Below are 20492 nucleotides of genomic sequence, written 5' to 3' on the forward strand. Positions count from 1 at the left end.
TTAAAAGCAAGAAAATTAAAAACAAAATAACAAACTAAAAAATAATAAAAAAGCAAAAAAGCACTTAGAGTATCCCTACAATGGGTGAATGGCATGGTACATAAATACAGATCTGGAAACCAGCAGGATAGGCTGTGAAGCCATGGGATTTATTGTTATCAGTGAAACACTTGCCATCGCTTAGCATTAAAGGTAACTGATTTTCTTGGCAGCCTGGGCAAAAAGAAATGTGTGATGAGTTAGATAGCTTTTATTAACTGATTAAGGGAAGCATGGAGGTTTGTCGAAAGAGACAAATAATTTTCTTAGCAGTAAACTCTAAAGCGTTTCCAATGTGCATCTTGATATTGGAGTCACTGAACAATACAGTTTAGAATAATAAATTCACAAATTCCATATTTCTTTCTTCTTTTCTCTTTTCAGAGACAAGGCCTTGCTCTGTCACCCAGACTACAGTGCAGTGGCATGATCATAGCTCACTGCAGCCTCGACCTCCTGGGCTCAAGCAATCCTCCTGCCTTAGCCTCCTGAGCAGCTGGGACTGCAGGCGCATGCCACCACACCCAACTAATATTTAAATTATTTGCAGAAACAGGGTCTTGCTATGTTGCCCAGGCTGGTCTCAAATTCCTGGCCTCAAGTGATCCTCCCACCTTAACCTCTCAAAAGTATTGGGATTATAGACATGAGCCACTGTGCCTGGCCTCCATGTTTCTTTATACTAACTTGAGTAACAGTTAAGATAATAATTTTAATGATTTTTTTCCTGATAAGAGAAGTAATACATGTTCATTACAATACATATACTGGTCATAAAAAGAAGAAAAATTGCTGGTCCTGCCAGTATCTAATGTTTTTATATACATAGATGGGCTATACGGCATGTACAATAATGGGATTATTTAACACATCTATTTAAACCTACATTTTTTTACTCAAAAATATATTGGGAACATTTTTCCATGTCATTAGTTATGCTTCTACAATAAGGCATTTATTGTGCCACTTAATGGATATACCGTAATTTAACAGTATCCTATTGTTGAACCTGTATTCAATTTCCTAATATTCTGTTCAATATGTTGATGAACATTCTTGTTAACAAATCACTGGGCCTATTCGTGGTGTTTTCTGTATTAGAGCTCTTTAGGCTGTTAGTATCAGAAAACCAAGTCAAATTATTTTAAACAAAAATGGAATTTACTGTGGTATTACCTGAAAAATTCAGGAATACATTGGCTTCAAACATGGCTGGATTCAAGTGCTCAAGCAAGCCATCAAGTGCTATAGCTTTCTCTTTCTCTATCTCAGTTTTCCTCTCTTCTGCGTAGGCTTTATTCGCAGGCAGGCTCTCTCTCCACAAAGTGGTAAAGGTCATCACTGGCAGCTGCAAGCTTATGTAGTCTTCATAACTCACGATTCTAGAGAAAAAACCTTTTTGTGACAGCTCCTGCAAAAGTCTCGGGGAAACACTGATTGGCCCAGCCTGGGTCACATGCCATCCTTGAACCAATCATTACAGCCAGGGCTGCAGTACTCTAATTAGCCAAGACTGAGTCCTTAGTGCAACTTGTGAGTGGGGTCAGCTGCCCTCAAATCACATAGATAAACAAGATTAGTATTGAATAAGAAAGGGATGAGTTCTCAAAGGGAGGGATGCTAGACAGGTTAAAAAAATCCCCACAAATTTCCTGAAGATAAATTTCTGTATATATATAATATATAATTTTTTCTTTTATATATATAAAAATATATACATATATTTCTTTCTACATATATTATATATAAATATATACATATATTTCTTTCTACATATATTATATATATATATATTTTTCTTTTCTTTTTTTCTTAGATGGAGTTCTCGCTCTGTCCCCCAGGTAGGAGTGCAGTGGCATGATTATGATCTTGGCTCACTGCAACCTCTGCTCCCAGGTTCAAGCGATTCTCCTGCCTCAGCCTCCCAAGTAGCTGGGATTACAGGCACCTGCCACCACACCTGGCTAATTTTCATATTTTTAGTAGAGACAGTGGTTTCACCATGTTGGTCAGGCTGGTCTGGAACTCTTGATCTCAAGTGATTCGCCCTCCTCAGCCTTCCAAAGTGCTGGGATTGCAGGCATGAGCCACTGCTCCTGGCCTATTTTTAAAATGCTTCTAATGCATATAGTTAAATTTCTTTCTAGAAATGTGTAACAATTTTCACTTTCACTTGCAGTGTATGAGAAAGTTCTTTTTCTTAAGCCCTCATAACAACTGGGCAATACCATCCTATTTTTTAAATAGTTTTATTTGTATCAAAGTAATACTTCTATAAAAGAAACCAGTGAGAACCAGTGGTGTGCTGTAAACTAGGTCTCTGGGAAAGAAAAAAAGCAGCCTGGTGCAGTGGCTCACGCCTAGTATTCCCAGCAGTGTGGGAGGCCAAGGCAAGAGGATTGCTTGAGCCCAGGAGTTCAAGACCAGCCTGGGTAATATAGCAGGACCCTGTCTCTACAAACAAACAAAAAAATTAGCTGGGCATGGTAGCATGCACCTGTAGTCCCAGCTGCTTGGGAGGCTGAGGTGAAAGGATCATTTGAGCTTGGGAGGTTGAGGCTGCAGTGAGTTATAATCATATCACTCTACTCCAGCCTGAGTGACAGAGTGAGACCCTGTCTCTAAATAAAGAAATAAATAAAAGAAAAAGCCCTGATTTGGAGTTTATTTCTGTGGTATAAATGTTCCCACCATAATAGAGGTGTTTAACAACAGTGTTTAAAAAGGAATGGCAGTCTCCTGCCCCATCTCTCTCTAACACTTTGTTCTTCTCCCCGGAGGGAACCACACTTAATTATTCTCTTTTCTATTTTATTTGCCTCCACATTTCTAAATCATATGCTTATACTATTATATATTAATTTATCAATTTTAAACATTACCCATAGAAATAATAGAAACATATTTCCTGCTATGGTAGGATGAGCTCTTAGTTCTTATACTGTCTCCCCACTTCCCACCTTCATCAATCGCCAGATTTAACTGCTTTTGTTGTTGTTGTTGTTCAGTTGATAGCCAGTGTTTACTTATTATGACTTTGCAAATTTCCTTCACTGCTATGCCAAGAAGTACATATCTTATACAACCCTTAGCTTTTCTTTTACAATCCTTAGCTTTTCTTGGTGTAATTTCTCTAGCGTGTTTTTCTCATTTGTTTAATTTTCTCTGTATTTATTACTAGTTTTCCTGAAGTGTTCCAAAATATATGTGATGTACCTATCAACATTTGGATTTCTGCTTAAACACACCAGTGGTTCTTTTCTCCCATGCAAACTTCCTTCTCATAATCCTTGTCCTTCCTGTGCTAATCTGGAATGGTTGTTTTCCAGCCCTGCTGCAATGCACAGCTCTTGTCCTGCCGCTTCCCAGTTCCCTTCAATTCTCCTCTATTTTGCACTTCTGTTTTCTGAAACCCATATCTTTTTTCCTTCTTGGTTTACTCTCAATTTTTTACAGAAGCTCTTGCAGTTGTTTCCTAAGACAAGATACATGGAAGGTAAAATTTTGGAGATTTTTTTTCTTCTTCTTTTTTTTTTTTAAAAAGGGATCCATGTGCAGAACATGCAGGTGTGTTACATAGGTATACGTGTGCCATGGTGGTTTGCTGCACCTATTGACCCACCCTGTAAGTTCCCTCCCCTCACCCCCAATCCCCCAACAGGCCATGGTGTGTGTTGTTCCCCTCTCTGCGTCCATGTGTTCTTATTGTTCTGGAGATTTTTAAAGTATGAAAGTATCTTTATTATGTCCTCCACTTGACCAATTGTTTGGCTGGCTATGAAATTTTAGGTGGAAAACAATTCCCTCAGAATTTTGAAGACATTGATCCATTGTCTTTTGACTCATTCTTACTCTTCAGATACTATTGAAATTGCCATTATGACAGTGGAGAAATGAGAATTCATTTTAATTTGCATTTAAAATGAACTGCATTGTCCATGTATTGGCTGTCCTCTATGGGTAGCCTCTCTTTTAACCTTGCACCAACCTTGAAGAAAGCACTCAAAATTTCTTTATAAGTCCCCTCTGAACAGAGCCATTTTATATACCATTAATGTTCAATTGAATTTATTTGATATTTTCTAGCGGAAACAGAGGTGGAGATTAGTATTGCCCAGAAGTTGGCATTCAATTTAATTCCTCATTAGACATTCTGACTCCCCTTTTTTTGAACTGGTTTGATGTTTTTTTCTTTTTTTTTGTTTTCCTTGCAAAAACCCTCAGCTCACCCGAGGGCCAATGGAAATTTATTAATTTTTTTGTCCTTTTCCATCTTTCCCCAAGTGGCTTTTCCTTGCAAAATGCCTGACATGACACCAGAGGGGAACCTGGGAGCGGGGGGCACCCCAAGGGGCAGCCCAGGGACTTAAATACAAGCTGGAGGGCAGGGCACAGGTGGGACAGGCAAGAGACAGCACGAGGGACATGGCTTCTCAGGGAGACCAAAGACTTGCTTTCCTGCAGGAAGCAGCTGTACCAGAGGGCAGGGGACTAGGATCCTGGGTGCAGAGTGGGTGGGCAGAGAGGCCCCCAACCCTGGATGGAACCCACATTCCCCAGAGAAGTAGCGGCAGGGGATGAGGGCCTTCCCTGGTGGGCTCCAGAGACCGAGGGGAGAGTGAGCCAGGTGTGCTGCCTCGGGGAAAGGGAGGAGGTGTTAGCAGTGAGAGGGTTAAGGCTGGTGCCCAGCCTCTGGCACGGTGGGCCTTCCGCCTCCGCCTGACATGGGGACTAAGGGGCACGGTGGGCAGGCAGCGCGTGGGTCTGTCTCTGGCAGGGCAGAGGGCGGCAGGAGCAGACTTTCTCCAGGCTCAAGACACAGGCCCAGCGCCGCTACCCGCCCAGCCGCCCTCGATATACTCAGACCCCACCGCAGCTGGACGGCTGGAGCTGGGAGTGTGGGAGGGGAGAGGAGGCAGTGGGGAGAGGAAAGGGTGGGCTGCTGGGCCCCTGTGGCCTCCATGGCTGTCCTGAGGTCCAGCCCAGGGCCCTGGATCCCCTGGTCACACTCCTGGCCCTGGGCACTGACTGCAGCCAGGGCAGTAGAGGCCGGGGAGACCCTCAGCTCTTGGGCAGAAGGACAGCAGGAAGAAGGGGAAGGAGAGAAACCCAGTGCAGCACACATGGGGGTGGGAGGGAGACCGACAGAAGAGCCCTAGTTCCAAAGAAAGGTGTGTAGGGGGGGCATCTTGGAAAGTCACCTAGAGGCAGCAGCAGAGCAGGCCCCCGCCCTGCCTGGCCACAGGTCCTGAGTGTCCTCCCTTAGGGACCCTGACAGAATAGCGGCTCGGGGCAGCAGGCAGATGGGCCAGAGGGAGATGGGGAGCCCAGGACACCCCAAAGCCACAGACTCAAATGCCCCAGGAGAGGAAGAGGGAGGCACCTCCTGTCCCCTCCAGGGACATCATTTGGAGAAGGTGCCCCCTCCTGTCCCACTCCAGTGCCCCTCCTAGCAACAACCACCGCCAGCCGGCTTTACAGGGGTGCTGTCGATCTTGAGATTGGGCCGCTCGCCCCCGGAGGCTGCTCCGGGCCCCATCTGCTTTTTGATCTCAGCAGCCATGGTCATGAACGCCTGCTCGACATTGGTGGCATTCTTGGCACTCGTCTCCAAGAAGGGGATGCCCAAAGAGTCTGCAAACTCCTTGGCTGTGGTGTTGTCCACCACCTTCTTGGTGGTGAGGTCGCTCTTGTTGCCCACCAGGAGCTTATTGACGTTCTCGCTGGCATGGCGGTCAATCTCCTGCAGCCACTGCTTCACGTTGGCATAGGATTCCTGGTCAGTGACGTCATATACCACGAGGAAGCCATGAGCCCCCCGGTAGTAGCTGGAAGTGATGGTCCAGAACCGTTCCTGGCCCGCCGTGTCCCAGATCTGAAGTTTGATAGTTTTGCCATCCAGCTCGATGGTTTGGATCTTGAAGTCCACCCCGATGGTGCTGATGTAGCTCTCTGTGTAAGGGTCATCAGCAAACCGCAGGAGCAGGCATGACTTGCCCACGCCTGAGTCGCCAATCAAAAGCAGCTTAAACAGGCAGTCATATCCGGGGTTCATGGCGGCGGCGGAAGCCCGCTCAGTCGCTCCCAGTCGGCTCTGCTCCGCCTCCCGTTCCAAGATGGTGGCCGCCGATGTTTTTTCAATTTTAGAAATTAAAGTAAAATTGCATTTAATAAAATTCACCCTTTTTAGTATACAGTTCTGTGAGTTTTGATAAACATACACGGTTGTGCAACCACCACCACCACAGAGATACAGAATAGTTCCATCAGTCCCTAAAATTCCCCCTTGCTTCTTCCCCTAACCCCTACACTCTGGCAAGCAAGCACTAATCTGTTTTCTGTCCCTATTGTTTTGCCTTTGTTAAATAAATGGAATCATAGAGTATGTAGCTTTTGAGTCTGGCTTCTTTCACTTAGCATAAGCATAGACTAGAAAAGTTCCAGGGCCATCACTTAATCTCTCCAGGCCCAGGATTGCTCATCCGTAAGACAGGAGCTATATCATCTGTCCTTTCTGCCTTTCAGAATGATTGTGAGGGTAAAAGGACATGCTAGGTGGGAAGGTGCATTGAGAAGTGTAAAGTGTTACACAAGGACAAATGGTTGCGCGGATAGTGAGTGAAAAAAGTGTGCAAGAGAGAAAAGAGATCACTGAGTGTTAGCTTTTGAATAACCCACAACAACGGTGGGATTTTAATTCTGATTTCAAAGGAAAATGGTGTATGCTTTCTTTCTTTCTTTCTTTCTTTCTTTCTTTCTTTCTTTCTTTCTTTCTTTCTTTCTTTCTCTCTCTTTCTTCCTTTCTTTCTTTCCTTTCTTTCTTTCCTTCTTTTCTTTTCTTTTCTTTTCTTTCGAGACGGAGTCTTGCTCTGTCGCCCAGCCTGGAGTGCACTGGCGTTATCTCGGCTCGCTGCAACCTCTGCCTCCTAGGTTCAAGTGATTCTTCTGCCTCAGCCTCCCGAGTAGCTGGGATTACAGGCATGGGCCACCACGCCTGGATAATTTTTGTATTTTTAGTAGAGACAGGTTTCACCATGTTGGCCAGGCTGGTCTCGAACTCCTGACCTCAGGTGATCTGCCCGCTTCGGCCTTCCAAAGTGCTGGGAATACAGGTGTGAGCCACTGCGTCTGGCCTGGTTTATGGTTTTTAATGAAAGGACTTGCGTTATGGGTAGTCCATGTCTCTGTGGCCTGGAGAGCAGCCTGACAATGCCAGGGAGGTGGCTGCCCACCTGTCTGATTATAAAACTCTGCCCACAGATTTTCAGGAACTGATCCCATTTTAGTAAATCTTTGCTGTATTAAACAACTTTTGTTTATGTATCATCCCAGAGAGGGGGGTCTTATCTTGGGACCATGGTGCAGAAAGTCGAGGATGTCTCCTGCTTGCAACCTCATGGGAGATATTTTCTAAATCCTTTACTCTTCAAAGTTGATAAGAAAAGGAGGCCTTTTCAACTGGTGGGCTTACTAAAAATTCTGCAAGTTCCCCACTTAGTAAGATCTTGAGTGCTCCCAGGGAAGAGCCATTATAAACTGTTATAATGTGTTCTAGCACCCCTACTTTGGTAAAGCACCTGCTTCAAATGTTGGCTTTACTTCCTCCTCAAAGTCTATCCTGATCTTCACAGTTCCAGCTCTCTCCTCTCAAAGTGACTTCCTGCTATGAAATCCCTGAGAGCAGAGGTTCCCCAACTTTCTTGTTTCGTGGTGCCCACAGTAATTTTTCGTAGCACTCCCAGGTAAAAATAAATGTGTAACAGTTCCATAGGTTAAGTAGTTAGATCCAAACAACTTAATAAGCATTGAAGTCCTAATAATTTAGTAGTTGTTTGAAAAAAGTGCACATACATTTTAAATATTATATTTTTATTTAATTTTAAAATAACCACGGTAAGTTACTAATGGGATGTGTGTGCCTCTTGGATGCTGTACAACTTCTCAAACCTTGGATCAGGTTGGACACATTTCCTGTTCCATGTTGGGTTTTGCACAAAAAAAGTGCTTGCTTTTTATCACAGCGACTAACAAAAACTCAGCTTTGCAAGGGTATGATGTCATAGGAATGCAACATGATCTGAGAACTGCCTGGAGCTAGTAGTTTGCACATGTCCAGTAGATTCTGGGTGTCGCCATGTTTCCCTTGAAAAATTAAATATCCCATTGTAACCCTGTGAATTTGCTGTGGCTCTGCAGGACACCTCAACCCATAGTTTGGCCCTAGAAGTTTTCTGTACCTCTGATGATAAAAAGCACATTCTACTTTCTATCACAGTTATTTGAAGACATACATTATGTCTCCTAGTAGAGCTTTTTGAAGGTCAGGACCATGTCTGATTCATCTCTGTATCCTTCGTAACACCTCTCAGTAAAAGTAACTAGCATTTTATGAGCACTTACTAAGGCCAGGATGTCCATACATCCATGGGCTGGATGACTCCAGTGTCTATGCACTTCCCAGGACACTATTCCACCTCACTTAGCACAGTGCCTTACCCATAAGCTGGGAGCTTATGGGCTCAAGCCATCCTCCCGCCTCAGCCACCCAAGTAACTGGGACTGCAGGCATGCACCACCAGGCCTAGCTTGCTGTTGTATTTTTTGTAGAGACTGCGTTTTGCCATGTTACCCAGGCTGGTCCTGGACTCCTGAGCTCAAGTAAAAAATAAAATTTTACTTGAATGAGTGAACAGAATTGCATATACTTAATCTGGGCCACACCTTGCAAAACAATTCACAGAACTCAGTCAGGCCAAGTAGATGCCTCTATACAGCCAGCATGAGTTTGGGGAATAGCACTGGGACTAAGCATAGCTCTGTCACTCACTTACCTCTGGCCTCAAGCAAATGGTTTAACTGCTGTGTGTTCCTGTTTTCCTCAGCTGTGAAATTGGATACCGATACCTCACTCAGGAGTATTATGAAGGTCAAATGAGATATTGTCTGCATAAGGGCTCCAAAGGACATCAAGGTGGTGCGTGTTAAGGGATTATGGTTCAGTGTAGGTAACACAGATGCCATTAATGGCATACCCCTATTCTATGCCTGTTCCTGGTAGGGCTGAAGCAGGAGGGGGTGGCTGAACCGAGGACAGAGTTATGGGGGAAGAAGGGGTTAAATAAGTAGCTATTTCTGTTCCCCAAGTGACCATTCTCTGGGCACAGACTGAAATTCCCTCTGGAGCTGCACTAATGGACACATTAGTATCAGTTGACAAAGTACCATATGCTCTGAAATGTTCTCCCATTAAGCTTCATGGGAGGTGGCAGGAATTCATGGTCCATTGTAGGAAATCTGCCATGATTTTAGTCTTCAGTAAAGTATACTCCTAGGCTTCCTACGCTCTGGAAGGTCGGGCTAGGCCTCCAACTACATAATGATGCACCAGACATTACTTATTTTAAGACAGGAAGGCTGTGAAGTAAGGTTATCTTTGTCTGTCAATAGTAGACTCATAAAATCATCCTTTATTTTTGAAAAAAAATTATGTTTTAACAATGAATTATTTTGTGAGTATTTGCTCTTTGGTTTCAGGTTAATCAGCATGTGTACTGGTCATTAATCAGGATCCAGATTATGAAAATAACACATAATGTCTTCAGTGGCATCAATAAGTACATGGTTTTTCATAAGTCACCATGTTATTTATTTATTTATTTAGAGACAGGGTCTCGCTCTATTACCCAGGTTGGAGTGCAATGGAGCGCAGTAAAATCTGGGCTCACTGCAGCCTTGACCTCCTGGGCTCAAGCCATCCTCCCGCCTCAGCTACCTGAGTAACTGGGACTGCAGGCATGCACCACCAGGCCTAGCTTGCTTTTGTATTTTTTGTAGAGACTGCATTTTGCCATGTTACCCAGGCTGGTCCTGGACTCCTGAGCTCAAGTGATCTGCCCACCGCAGCCTCCCAAAGTGCTGGGATTACAGACCATGTTATTTTTATGGAAACTTCCTTTGCAAGAAGTATCATCTTTCTTAATACCAGTCAATTTGCCTAAAAAAGAATGAAGGGAAAAAAGGAAGAAAGAAAGACCCAAACTCCACCAGTTTCAAAAGACAAGGCAGACTTAAAAGTGTCAAGATCTGGGAGTTTCAAAATGTATAACAATAGCTGCCATTTATTGAATGCCTGCAACACCCCAGAGCCTGTGCTAGGTGCTTTATCCTTACTAGTTAATTTAATTCTCACAACACCCTTCAAGGTCAGTATTATCTGTGTGTTAAGATGAGAAAACTGAGAGGTTACATTAGTTGTCCAAGGTCATAAAGCTAACAAGAGCTGGCATTCAAGCTACCTCTGGCTCCACGGCCCAGATCCTTTCCAGAACATCCCCCTCTGATTCAAAGAACAGGCTGACACAGTGTTGCAGTACACAGTACATAGTAACAAAACATGAATAAAGCCTTGTTTTTAAGAAAATCTAGATCATCCCTCCCTCTCCCTATCCTACACCGAAGATAGGAGAGGAACCTTCCAAGACTTTCCCCTGCGTCTGGGGACTGTCCATGCACTGTTTCCAGAATTTAGGGAATGTGTTAGCTGGAGGGGGTCCAGGCTAGTCTAGTGCCTCCCCAACATCCCCCAGTTACTTTCATTTAGATTTACTCTGCTTATGCCTGTACTCTACAAGGGGCTTCTGTTTAGTAGGATTTGAGTTGAATATAGAATCCTACCAAAGTTGGAAAAACACTGATATAGTCCAATTCTATGTTTTGTAGGTGAAGATCTCTCAGACCCAGAGCAGGCTTGACCAAAATAACCTAGAAAGGTAGGACAGGCCCTTTGCTCTTTAAAATTTAAATTTCTGGATCACTACAGCAAAACTATTGGAGTGAGAAAGACAATCACCATGGGAAATATGCTCCAAAAGCTGTTTTCACCTGTTGACAGAACAGAGGAGGGTAGCAGAACCCTCCCAGATTTAAATTCTGACTCAATCACCAACACCAGCTATCTGGATGATCTTGAGCAGGTTACTTAACCATGTAGAGTCTCTTTGTCTGCAAAAAAGACACATGATACTTGCTTGTTGGAGTTTTTGTGTTAGTATATTAAAAATACATAGCATCTAATAGGTGTTCCTTTCCATCCTTAGAGCCTTCCCATAGGCTGTTCTCTCTGCCTGGAAGCTCTATCATCCCTCTCCCCTTCAATAGCTGACTTGGACTTATTATTTAGTTTCTTTCACTAGATTTCTTGGATTTGAATCCAAGCTCTTACTAGTTGAGTGACCAGGGGAACATTTGGCCTTGGTTTTCTCATTTATAAAGTGGGGATATTAATATATAATTCATAGGGTTATTAAAATGAGATAAACCGCTTAGAACAGTGCCTAACAAATATTAGGTCTCAATAAAATTTGGCAAGGACGATTTGTGGGATCCATAATTCCAGAGGGCTCTGTTTCCTCCTTCGGTAAGCTATTCACATTGCCTGGAAGCTCATGACATTTACTCTTTATTCTAGGAGTTCAGAAATTTCACCAGGATATATTTTTAAATATCCATTCTGCCAATCTTTGTCTTTTAATTGGTGTATTTAGATTATTTACATTTAATATAATTACTAAAATGTTAGCACTTAACTCTGCTATGTTGTTATTTCTTTTCTTTCTGCACAGGGGAAAGTCTTGGAAGCTTTCTCTCCCATCTGTTTGTTCCCCATTTCTCACTCCTCTTTTTTCTTTTTCCTGCCTCCCTGTGGAGTACTTGGGCTTTTTAAAGAATTCTACTTTGATTTATCTAAAGTATTTTTGAGTGTATCTCTCTGTATAGTTTTTAAAGTTGTTGCTCAAGTATTAAATCATACATAAATAACTTATTACAGTCTACTGCTCCTGACATTTTACCCTTTTCAGTGAAATGCCCAGGACTGGAAGTTCTAGGTGTGTGTTTTAAAATTAATACAGTGTAGAAATTAGAGTCTTTTTTACCTGATAACTCAAGTCCATACATTTAATGTATAGGTAATTCAAGTGCATACATTTTATCTGATAATTCAAGACTATGGGCTTAGTCTTTTTTTCTATTATATTTTGGTTATTGCTTTGCTCCTTTGTTATTTTTTTCCTCCATTTGGTACTATTATTTGCATATCTTCTAGATATTTCATCAATGTTTTAAAACCCTCTGACTCATAATTTCTATTTCTTTTTAATTTTGGTTTGGTACTGTGGGGTAGTTCTCCTTTTTCATCTTTCAGATCATTAAATCAGTTTTCAGTGGTGTTCATTACATTTTTCATTTCCACAATTGCAAATTTAAAAAATTGTGTATTTAACTTTCAAAAACAATTTTTCCTCATTTTGATCATTTCTTTCTAGTCTCTGCTTGAATCTCCTTACATTTTTGATTTTAAAAAGTTAGTTTTTCTTCTATTAAATTGATCTCAATGTGATTCCTCTCTTTTAGTTATTTGTCTTGGTTGTGCTCCTTCAAGCTATTGACTCCCTTTAAATAATCTCTGATCTGCTTTGGCTACTTATATCCACAAGTGGGTAAGTTGGGCTTTTGTGGCCTCTTGGGTACAATAGTTCAGCGATCATGAAAGGAAAGAATGATGCTTCTCCAGTGGCCTGGTGGTGAACAAAGCTACCTGGCTGGGTCCACCAGGCTGAGGTGAGGTGGAAGAAGCTTTTAGGATCTTTGGACACTCCCAGAATTAATAGGGTGGGGTTGCGCTGCTGTGTGCCATTGTGTAGTTTGCTTATTGCAAGGGCATCTGGTGGAGAGGATTAATAGGAGCCAACATCCACTTGCTGAGCTGTGTACCCTAGTGTGGAGCTACATTGGCCCAAAGGAAGGAAGCATATTTTCTCATTTTCACAAAGGTATCTGAGAGGGGAAGCTTTTTTCTAACCCACATAAAGATGCTGTGTGGGCTAGGTGTGACCCTGAAGGGATAGTTTGGTCCACCTGTGACATTCGGTTCTACAGAGGCAGGTCTTGACAGAGTCAGGGGTCTTCCCACAGAGCTATTTGCAGGAAGTGGGCAGGGACAGTTCTTCCTCTCCTGTTGAGAGGTCCTGCTTAGTTGGGGTAGCTGGGCCCCTCAGGTAGCCCAGGATTGAAAGCCTTCACTGCAGACTCACTAGCGAGGCTGACTAGTTCTCAGGCTCCTGGGCCTTTGTCCTTCTTGCAATGGTGGACGGTGTGGCAGCAACACCGCCCTTTGCCAATCCTGCACTGCGATTGTCTGTGTGGGATTGGGCTCCAGCTATAGGCAACAGTGTCCTATGCCCCATTCACTGTATGGCTCACAATTTGGGTCCCCTCAGCAGGGAGCTGGGTAAGAGAAGGGCTTGGAAGGTGGCCCCCCATCTTCAGAGAAGCCCCCTGGGTAGGCACGCTAAGGTGATTTAGGAAGTTTCTCTATAACACAGTTCTAATACAGCCATCTTTCCTCCCCAACAATAGAGCTCAGTTTCCCAAATAAACCTGAATCTGAATCCCATTTACCAGCTCTGTGACCTCATACCAGTCGCTTGAATTCTCTGAGCTTGCCTCAGTTTCATCTGTGAAGTGGGGATTGTCATGTGTGTCCTGCCTAACTCAAGCAGCTGTTGAGAGAATAAGATGAGATGATTGCTCTGTTTGGTGTTTTACAAACTGAAAAGTCTATGCAAAAGTAAAGAGATGAAGAAAATAGTGCTAGAGAGGGTGGCATCTGCCCCCGGGGGCTGTGGGGAGCACGGTGGTAGTGGGGAGTTGCAGTCACCCAGCAGATGCAAAGCAGAATGAAGCCTATGGGAAGTGGCCAGATGTAGTTGTCAAGACCAGGGTAGGGCCACACTTGATGCTGGCCACAACCTCAAGACATGCCTTCTTCTGGGGAGCTGATCTCCCAGGAGCTGAGCCAGCAGAAAAAAAAAAAAAAGAGAGAGAGAGAATTTTACAAAAGAGATAAAAAGGCAGGAGTAATAGATGCTGAACCCAGTCCTATCTTTTCAAAGCTGCCTCTCAAAACACTGAAAGATTTATCACTTAAGGAATGAGATAAAAATTCATCTGACAAGAGACATAAAGAGCTTGAATATTTTTTAAAACTTGTGATAATCATTCCCAATTCTATACAAATATCTTATTGCCTTCCTCTGTTTCTAACTGAGTCATTATGTCCATTACATTAGCAATAGATTCGAATACCAGTTTTATCAAGGAGCAGAGAATGCGATTAGGAACAGGAAAAGAAATATAAGCAGACAAGGCTTAGATGAGAGCTAAGGAATAAATCCAGATATCAGACATGTTTTCCATCCTCCTGCCCTACCACTAAAAAAAAAGGTAAAAATAGATCATCTTTGAGAGAACGACTATGATAAACAGTCAAGCAAGGTCTGGAGGGTGTTGGGAGACTGATCTCTCTTCACCAGTACACAGATAATGAACTTTCTAGCTCAACTCCCTATTCTTAGTATTATACAGTGAATTGGACAATTCATTTTTAAGAAGTGAGCAGTGAATGTCTGCTTCTGTGTCCTAGAATCTTGGGAGTAAGAACATATTGTTTTTCTGTCAAATTTTCTCTCTGTAAAGCAACAATCTAATTGTCCCTAAGAGGTAATATAATCCTCATGATAATCACCCAATTTCTTTTGCCAACAGCAGTACTTCTCTTTGTGACTATAACACTTTAGCTTCCTTAATCTCAAAGAATCATTTGGTTTAGGGCTCAGGGAACATTGGTTGTCATCAGGTATCATTGCCTCTTCTTATAGAGGAGTAAAGTGTAGCTCAGAGAGGTGAGGCGATTTTCCCATAGCCACATAGCAAGAGAGGGACAGAATTAGGGTCTAGAACGCTAGGGCACTGCTTTTCTACAAGTAGCTCAGCAGAAGTGCTGGCATAGATATCAGAGAGGGCTATTTTTAATAACCCTCTCGCAGTACTCCAGTAGTCCCTGAGTCTTGGCTCACTGAAGCCTTGATGTAACTGTCTCATTATATTTCTGCATAAGACCTTGAATATTAAGAACATACAGTTTATGTGGTGTAATAACACTCTCTTAACCAAACCGTTTCATCCCCTATCCAATGTGGATTCACTTCAGAAGGCTTAAGTCTGTAGTAGGCACTCAACAATGTTGACTGAATGAATGAATAACCACTTAGAGGCCCATTAAGGAATCATGTCGTTTTAGATCTGAAAGAGACCTGGAAGGTCATTCTGGTCCCATTCCTCCATTCTGCTGAGACTTGAAGAGTGAGGGGACTTGGTGGCAGAGCACTCCTAGAGCTCCTTTCCCCTCTGCTTTCCATACAGTGTTCTTTCTTTCACCCATACTACTTCTCATTAATTTGATCTGCAGGCATTAAAATTGCCAATTTACTTGTGTTCAGGTAAACAAAATAAATATTTCTAACATCGAAAACACTTAAAAACATTTAAAAACACTACTCCATAGAAAATGACAGGGTCGAGGTTTTTTTAACCATAAGGAATTTGATCATTCTGAAGAAGAACAGAAACTTGTCCTAAATCACTGCAGACAGTAAAGCTGAAATTTGAAGCAGTAAATGATTCTATTTTGGGAACAATAGATATGAGGTCAGGAAGAGTTAGGCATTCTAAGAAGGAAATTGTATAGAAAAGCACTATTAAGTCAGCTCTCAGAAGTATTTGAGTGCAAAGGAGATTGATACAGGTAAGGGGAAGGTATGGGCACTTAGCAGATGACAAATGGCATACTCATTGCCATAGAGAAAGCAAACTTTTAGCTGAAATGGTACTTATGGGAAATAAATTTGAATCTCAGATGTTTGAGTCAGGAAGTCTCATTAGGATGCAACACAGCTTGTCCTTATGGGCTATTACATGGTGTCACTAAAAAAAGGAGAGACTCAGAGAGGGACAAGGCACAACCACATAGCAATATGAGAAATTTCATTCTTGCTATATCTTGTTCTATATTAATATTAGATCATTTGATGCTATCCTCTCACCAAAAATGACTCTTCAGAGTGACAAAAACAGAGATTGAAAGTAATCTAGGCCAGGCACGGTGGCTCATACCTGTAATCCCAGCACTTTGGGAGGTCGAGACGGGCGGATCACAAGGTCAGGAGATCAAGACCATCCTGGCTAACACAGTGAAACCCCGTCTCTACTAAAAATACAAAAAAAAATTAACCGGGCGGGGTGGCGGGCACCTGTAGTCCCAGCTACTCCGGAGGCTCAGGCAGGAGAATGGCGTGAACCCAGGAGGAGGAGCTTGCAGTGAGCCGAGATCGCGCCACTGCACTCCAGCCTGGGCGAAGAGCGAGACTCCGTTTCAAAAAAAAAAAAAAAAAAGTAATCTATATCCAAATGACAGCTGTTAGGGTAAAACTTGAGAAACATATATACTTTATTTGTTGATTTATTCATTCATTCAATAAATATTTATGGGATTATAGGAAGGCAAAAATAAATAAGACATTGTATTTCTCAAGAAGGTCTCAAGAAGACAGACGTGTAAACAAATCATTGTAATGGGTGTGCTGCGTGCTTTATTTGCTGTATGCTGTACATAAGTACAGCAGAGGCTCAAAGCAAGGACTGGGAAGAGTTCATGGAGGACAAGATATTTTTGACCAGGATTTAAAGGAAGAAGAAGTTTGTCCAATAGGTTGGGTTAAAGGTTAGAAAAACAAGGAAGCAATAATAGCTTATGTAAAGTATTTAGCAGTATAGGATTTAGAATTTCATATGAATCCCAGTGCAGCTATTTTAAAGCTGTGGAATCTTGGGTAAGCGACTTTACTTCTTGGAGCCTCAGTTTCCTTCTCTCTGTAAAATAAGTAGGGTAATCCTCACCGCATATAATGATTAGAAGCATTCCTAATAGTGCTGGCTAGCAAGTAATGAATGCTGTTTCGTCTCCAGGAACTCTTATTTTTTAGAACACTCCTAGGTGGTAGGTATTCTTATTATGCTCCCTTTGCAAAGGAAAAAAACCAAGAACTGAGAGGTTATGGAACTTTTCCAAAATTACATAGGTTAAAAAGCAGCATTGGGATTTGAACCTAGGCAGTTTGGCTCAAGACTACATTTTTTTTTAACACTATGTTATGTGTCTCTTATTACATAAGGTACCCTAAGAACATAAGGTGTTTGGTGTGCAGGTGTGGGGTGAGGTAGAGATGGCGCCACACGGGTAATAGGATCACTGTGGATTCACGTGATGCTAAGGAGTTAAGACTTTGCTGCACGATCAAGAAGGAACAATGGAGGTGTCTTCAGCAGGAGAGTCACTGGTCAGGTCTGTGGTTGAAAAAGATCACTGGCAGTATGTGAAGGATGAAAATAGGAAAGACTGGAGGCGGTTACTACAGCCTTGGCAAGAAATGGTGAGGCTCCAACGAAAGCAAGGGCGGCAGGATGAGGGGGAGGAGACATGTGTAAGAGAAGTTAAGGAGACAGAGTTGATTGGACTTAGTGTCCAGTAGAGTATGAAGGCCAGGAAGAAGGAAGAGTCTAGACTGTCCCTTTGGTTTCTAGTTTAGGTGCCCAGAGGAAGGAAGTGCCACTACCAGTTGAGATAGGGAAGCAATGCAAAAGGGGTAATTTGGGGGTAAGATGTGGGTTTGGTTTTGGCTGTGTTGAGAGTGGGGCACCTGAGGGACATTTAGGCGATGTCCAGCAGGCAGTTGTGTCTCTGGGTTTGGAAGACAGAAGGTTTGGCTGAAACCATGCAGCTGATAGAATTGCCTGGTGAGAGTGAAGGGAGAAAGGCCAAGGAGGGACATGAGGGCAATGGTAAAGGAGGCTGAGGGGCAAGAGGGACCAGAATGAGAATCTGAGGAGAGCGGGGTTAGGGGCTGGGTCCGGCACCTAGAGAGGCTGACACTGACGCAGGTAGCTAGGAAATGGAGGGGGACAGGGCAAAATTCCATGGGGAACATTTGTACTCACCGGACAAGAGAATAGTTCTTATCTTACTTTCTGACAAGTGCTATGCTTTTTGGTGTTTAACTGCCTTGGAGAGAGTAATTTGATGATTAATCTTTATCTACAAAATAATTTTTAAAATTAAACTTTATTTTGAGAAAATTGTAGATTCACATGCAATTGTTAAGAAATAATTCAGAGAGCCAGAATACTTGATTTTTAAAAAGCTTTCATTATTTCCACTATGGCTTCAGAATCTTCCACCCTTATGGTGCTTCTGTCTCCTGGGGCAGAACTTTGTATACTACAAAGACGGGTGAGGAAAGCAAAAGGCTCACTCAGCCCGTGGATCTGGGTGGCAGAGGGCTGGGGCACTGACAGAAAAGGGAGCTTTGGGTGCAATTACGTAGGAGGTCTTTCAGCGATGGAGCCACTCAGGAGTTTCTGGATGGACTCCTGGATTTGGAAATGAAGGTCACAAAGGAGGAGCACCTGCCTTCATCCAGACGATGTTGGCTCCAAAGTGCTGCTAGTCTTCCCCCACCGCCCTTGGATGAAGGATGCACTTGTTAACATCTGCCTGTGCACCATCCCCAGAATGATCTAACATCCCAGTCTGATGGTGCCTCAACCCTACTCAGAACTCCTCCCATGAACCTGCCAGTGCACTGGGAACACGGTGCAAACTCCTTGACCAGGAATTGGCCCCTGCTGACTCCCCTGCTTTATGTCTCAACTCCTGCCACTCCCTCTGTGGGATCTCTCTCATCTTGGGGTCTTTGTTCCTGTGGTCTCAACCTGAAAGGCTCTCTCCACACTCCTCCCTTTCACTGGCCAATTCCACTGGCCTTTCAGGTTTCCATTTAGAGCATGCCCTCTCCAGGAGGCCTTCACTCAGTCAGTGCAGGCCTGAGTGGTGCCCTTGGCCCCGTGGGATTGGGTTATTGTTACAGGAACTGGACTGTATTTTAATAGTCCTAGACTGTACATTCCATGAGGACAGGGACTGCTTTATTAAAGGTGTATTGTATCTCCAGTGTCTAATGCAGGATATGGACCTCGTAGGTGTTCAGTAGAGTTCAGCACGGAAAATAGTGCACAGACACATGCATTTGGGTATCATGCTCAGAGAGGCGGTAGGACCAGAACCAGGGGAGTGGGTGAGACGGCTCAGGGGGTCAGAAAAGGGCTGAGTGCAGAGTCCCAGGGCGCTCCGGCATTTTAGAGCTTCTGGTTTGAGGAACCCTCAAGGAGACCGAGGGAGTGGCTGGAGAGGGCCGAGGAAAGCTAGGAGAACACAGTTTCCCAGCGCGGAAGGAGTTTACAGAGACAGGGGAGGTGGTCCACAGTGCCTACCGTGGGCCCACGCTCTCCCTCTCCCTTCAGCCGAACACCTGCGGGGCGTGGGGGTCAGGGGGCGAGTCCCCCAGGGCTCCCCGTAGCTGGGGCTCTTCCTGGGGAAAAGGAGGCGTGAGAAGGGGGTCGTTTTGGGAACTCTTCTGGGTTCCAGTTCTGGCCCAACCACCGCTGGTCCGGGTGACCTTGGGGAGTCCCTTTCCTCTCCCAGCCTCAGTCTCCCCCCTGGGTACTCAGCGGACGCTGCGTGCCCCGGCGGTGAGCTGAGGCAGGCGGCGGAGGCAGGGCCCGGGTGGGAGCGGGACCGCCCACTGCGGCGGGCCGGGACCTCGGAGCCAGCGGAGGCGGCGCGCGGGGCTCCTCCCCCGGGGCGGGGGTCGCGGCGCCGGCAGCTGGCGGCCGCGCAGCTGCAGCCTCAGCACCTGCCGCCGCCAGACGGCGCGGGCGCGGCCCGGCCCGGCCAACCCCTCCGGCTGCAGCCTCGGCGCGGGAGGCGGAGCCCGAGCCGAGCCCGAGCAGCGCTGCTTCCCGAGCCTTGGCCGCGACCGTGCCCGCCGCTGGGCGGGGCCGCCCTTCTCCGAGAGCGTCAGCCCGCTAGGTCCTTGTCCGCGCGGGCGGCACCTCCTCTGCAGGTAAGGGAGGGGTCCTGGCACCGCAAAGTTTTGGGGAGACGGCCTGTCCCCACACCCCGGGCCTGCGCCTCGGCTTCCTCCGCGCCGCCCTCCGCCTGCACCACCAGTCCCGGGTGACCCGCGCCCGCCTCCGGTCCTCGTGTCCCCAAGCCCGGCTCGGGGGCGCGTCCGTGGGCTAGCTCAGGACCTGCCATCGTGAACTGTTTGCACAGTAGCGATGTGTGCTTAAGTTTCCGAGATCTGCATGGTGTAGTGAGTGGAAACAGCGGCAACGCGGGAGGGGGAGAGACCTGGGTTCAGGTGCGGCCGCGGCCAGCGCCAACTTTCTGAGTGACCTCAGACCAACCCTCTCTGTCCGTCCTCGATGGCCACACCTGAACCAGAAGGGGTTCGCCAGGGACGATCAGCTGCAGTGCCAATGCCTGTGTTGTCATTTTTTGAGTAGAGGGGCATCCCTGAGTGTCTCAGCTCCAGAACTCATTGCGTGTGGAGAGGAATGAGCCACAGAAGTCAGTCTCCAGGGTCGCGTCGCTAACTTGCAGCAGCTTTGACTGAGCTTTAGTGGGGGCGTTGAGTCAGCCTCGGGAAGCAGGGGAT

General features: G+C 44.9%; 1 protein-coding gene and 1 pseudogene across 6 annotated transcripts in view, besides 1 other annotated feature; one reads left to right on the top strand and one right to left on the bottom strand.

The window, feature by feature from the left end:
- FRMPD1 (FERM and PDZ domain containing 1) overlaps positions 1 to 20492 on the top strand; it is a 143676-nt gene that overhangs the window by 27971 nt on the left and 95213 nt on the right. For 3 of the 6 annotated variants that reach the window (XR_929220.3, NM_014907.3, XM_011517805.3), the window contains exon 1: positions 19755 to 19895. The exons of the other annotated variants lie outside the window; for them this stretch is intronic. The gene's annotated coding sequence lies outside the window, so the exon portion shown is untranslated. Of the gene's footprint in view, positions 1 to 19754; positions 19896 to 20492 lie in introns of those variants that run through there. 6 annotated transcript variants of the gene reach the window in all.
- On the bottom strand, positions 5289 to 6135 carry RAB1C (RAB1C, member RAS oncogene family (pseudogene); annotated as a pseudogene).
- Positions 19627 to 19896: a silencer, noted in NCBI's record as "silent region_19911". NCBI's record gives its function as "represses an Ori minimal core promoter by ATAC-STARR-seq in GM12878 lymphoblastoid cells {active_cell/tissue: GM12878}" and the evidence as "EXISTENCE:reporter gene assay evidence [ECO:0000049][PMID:35858748]".

This window comes from Homo sapiens, chromosome 9 (assembly GCF_000001405.40).
Source record: "Homo sapiens chromosome 9, GRCh38.p14 Primary Assembly".
Lineage (NCBI taxonomy): Eukaryota > Metazoa > Chordata > Mammalia > Primates > Hominidae > Homo > Homo sapiens.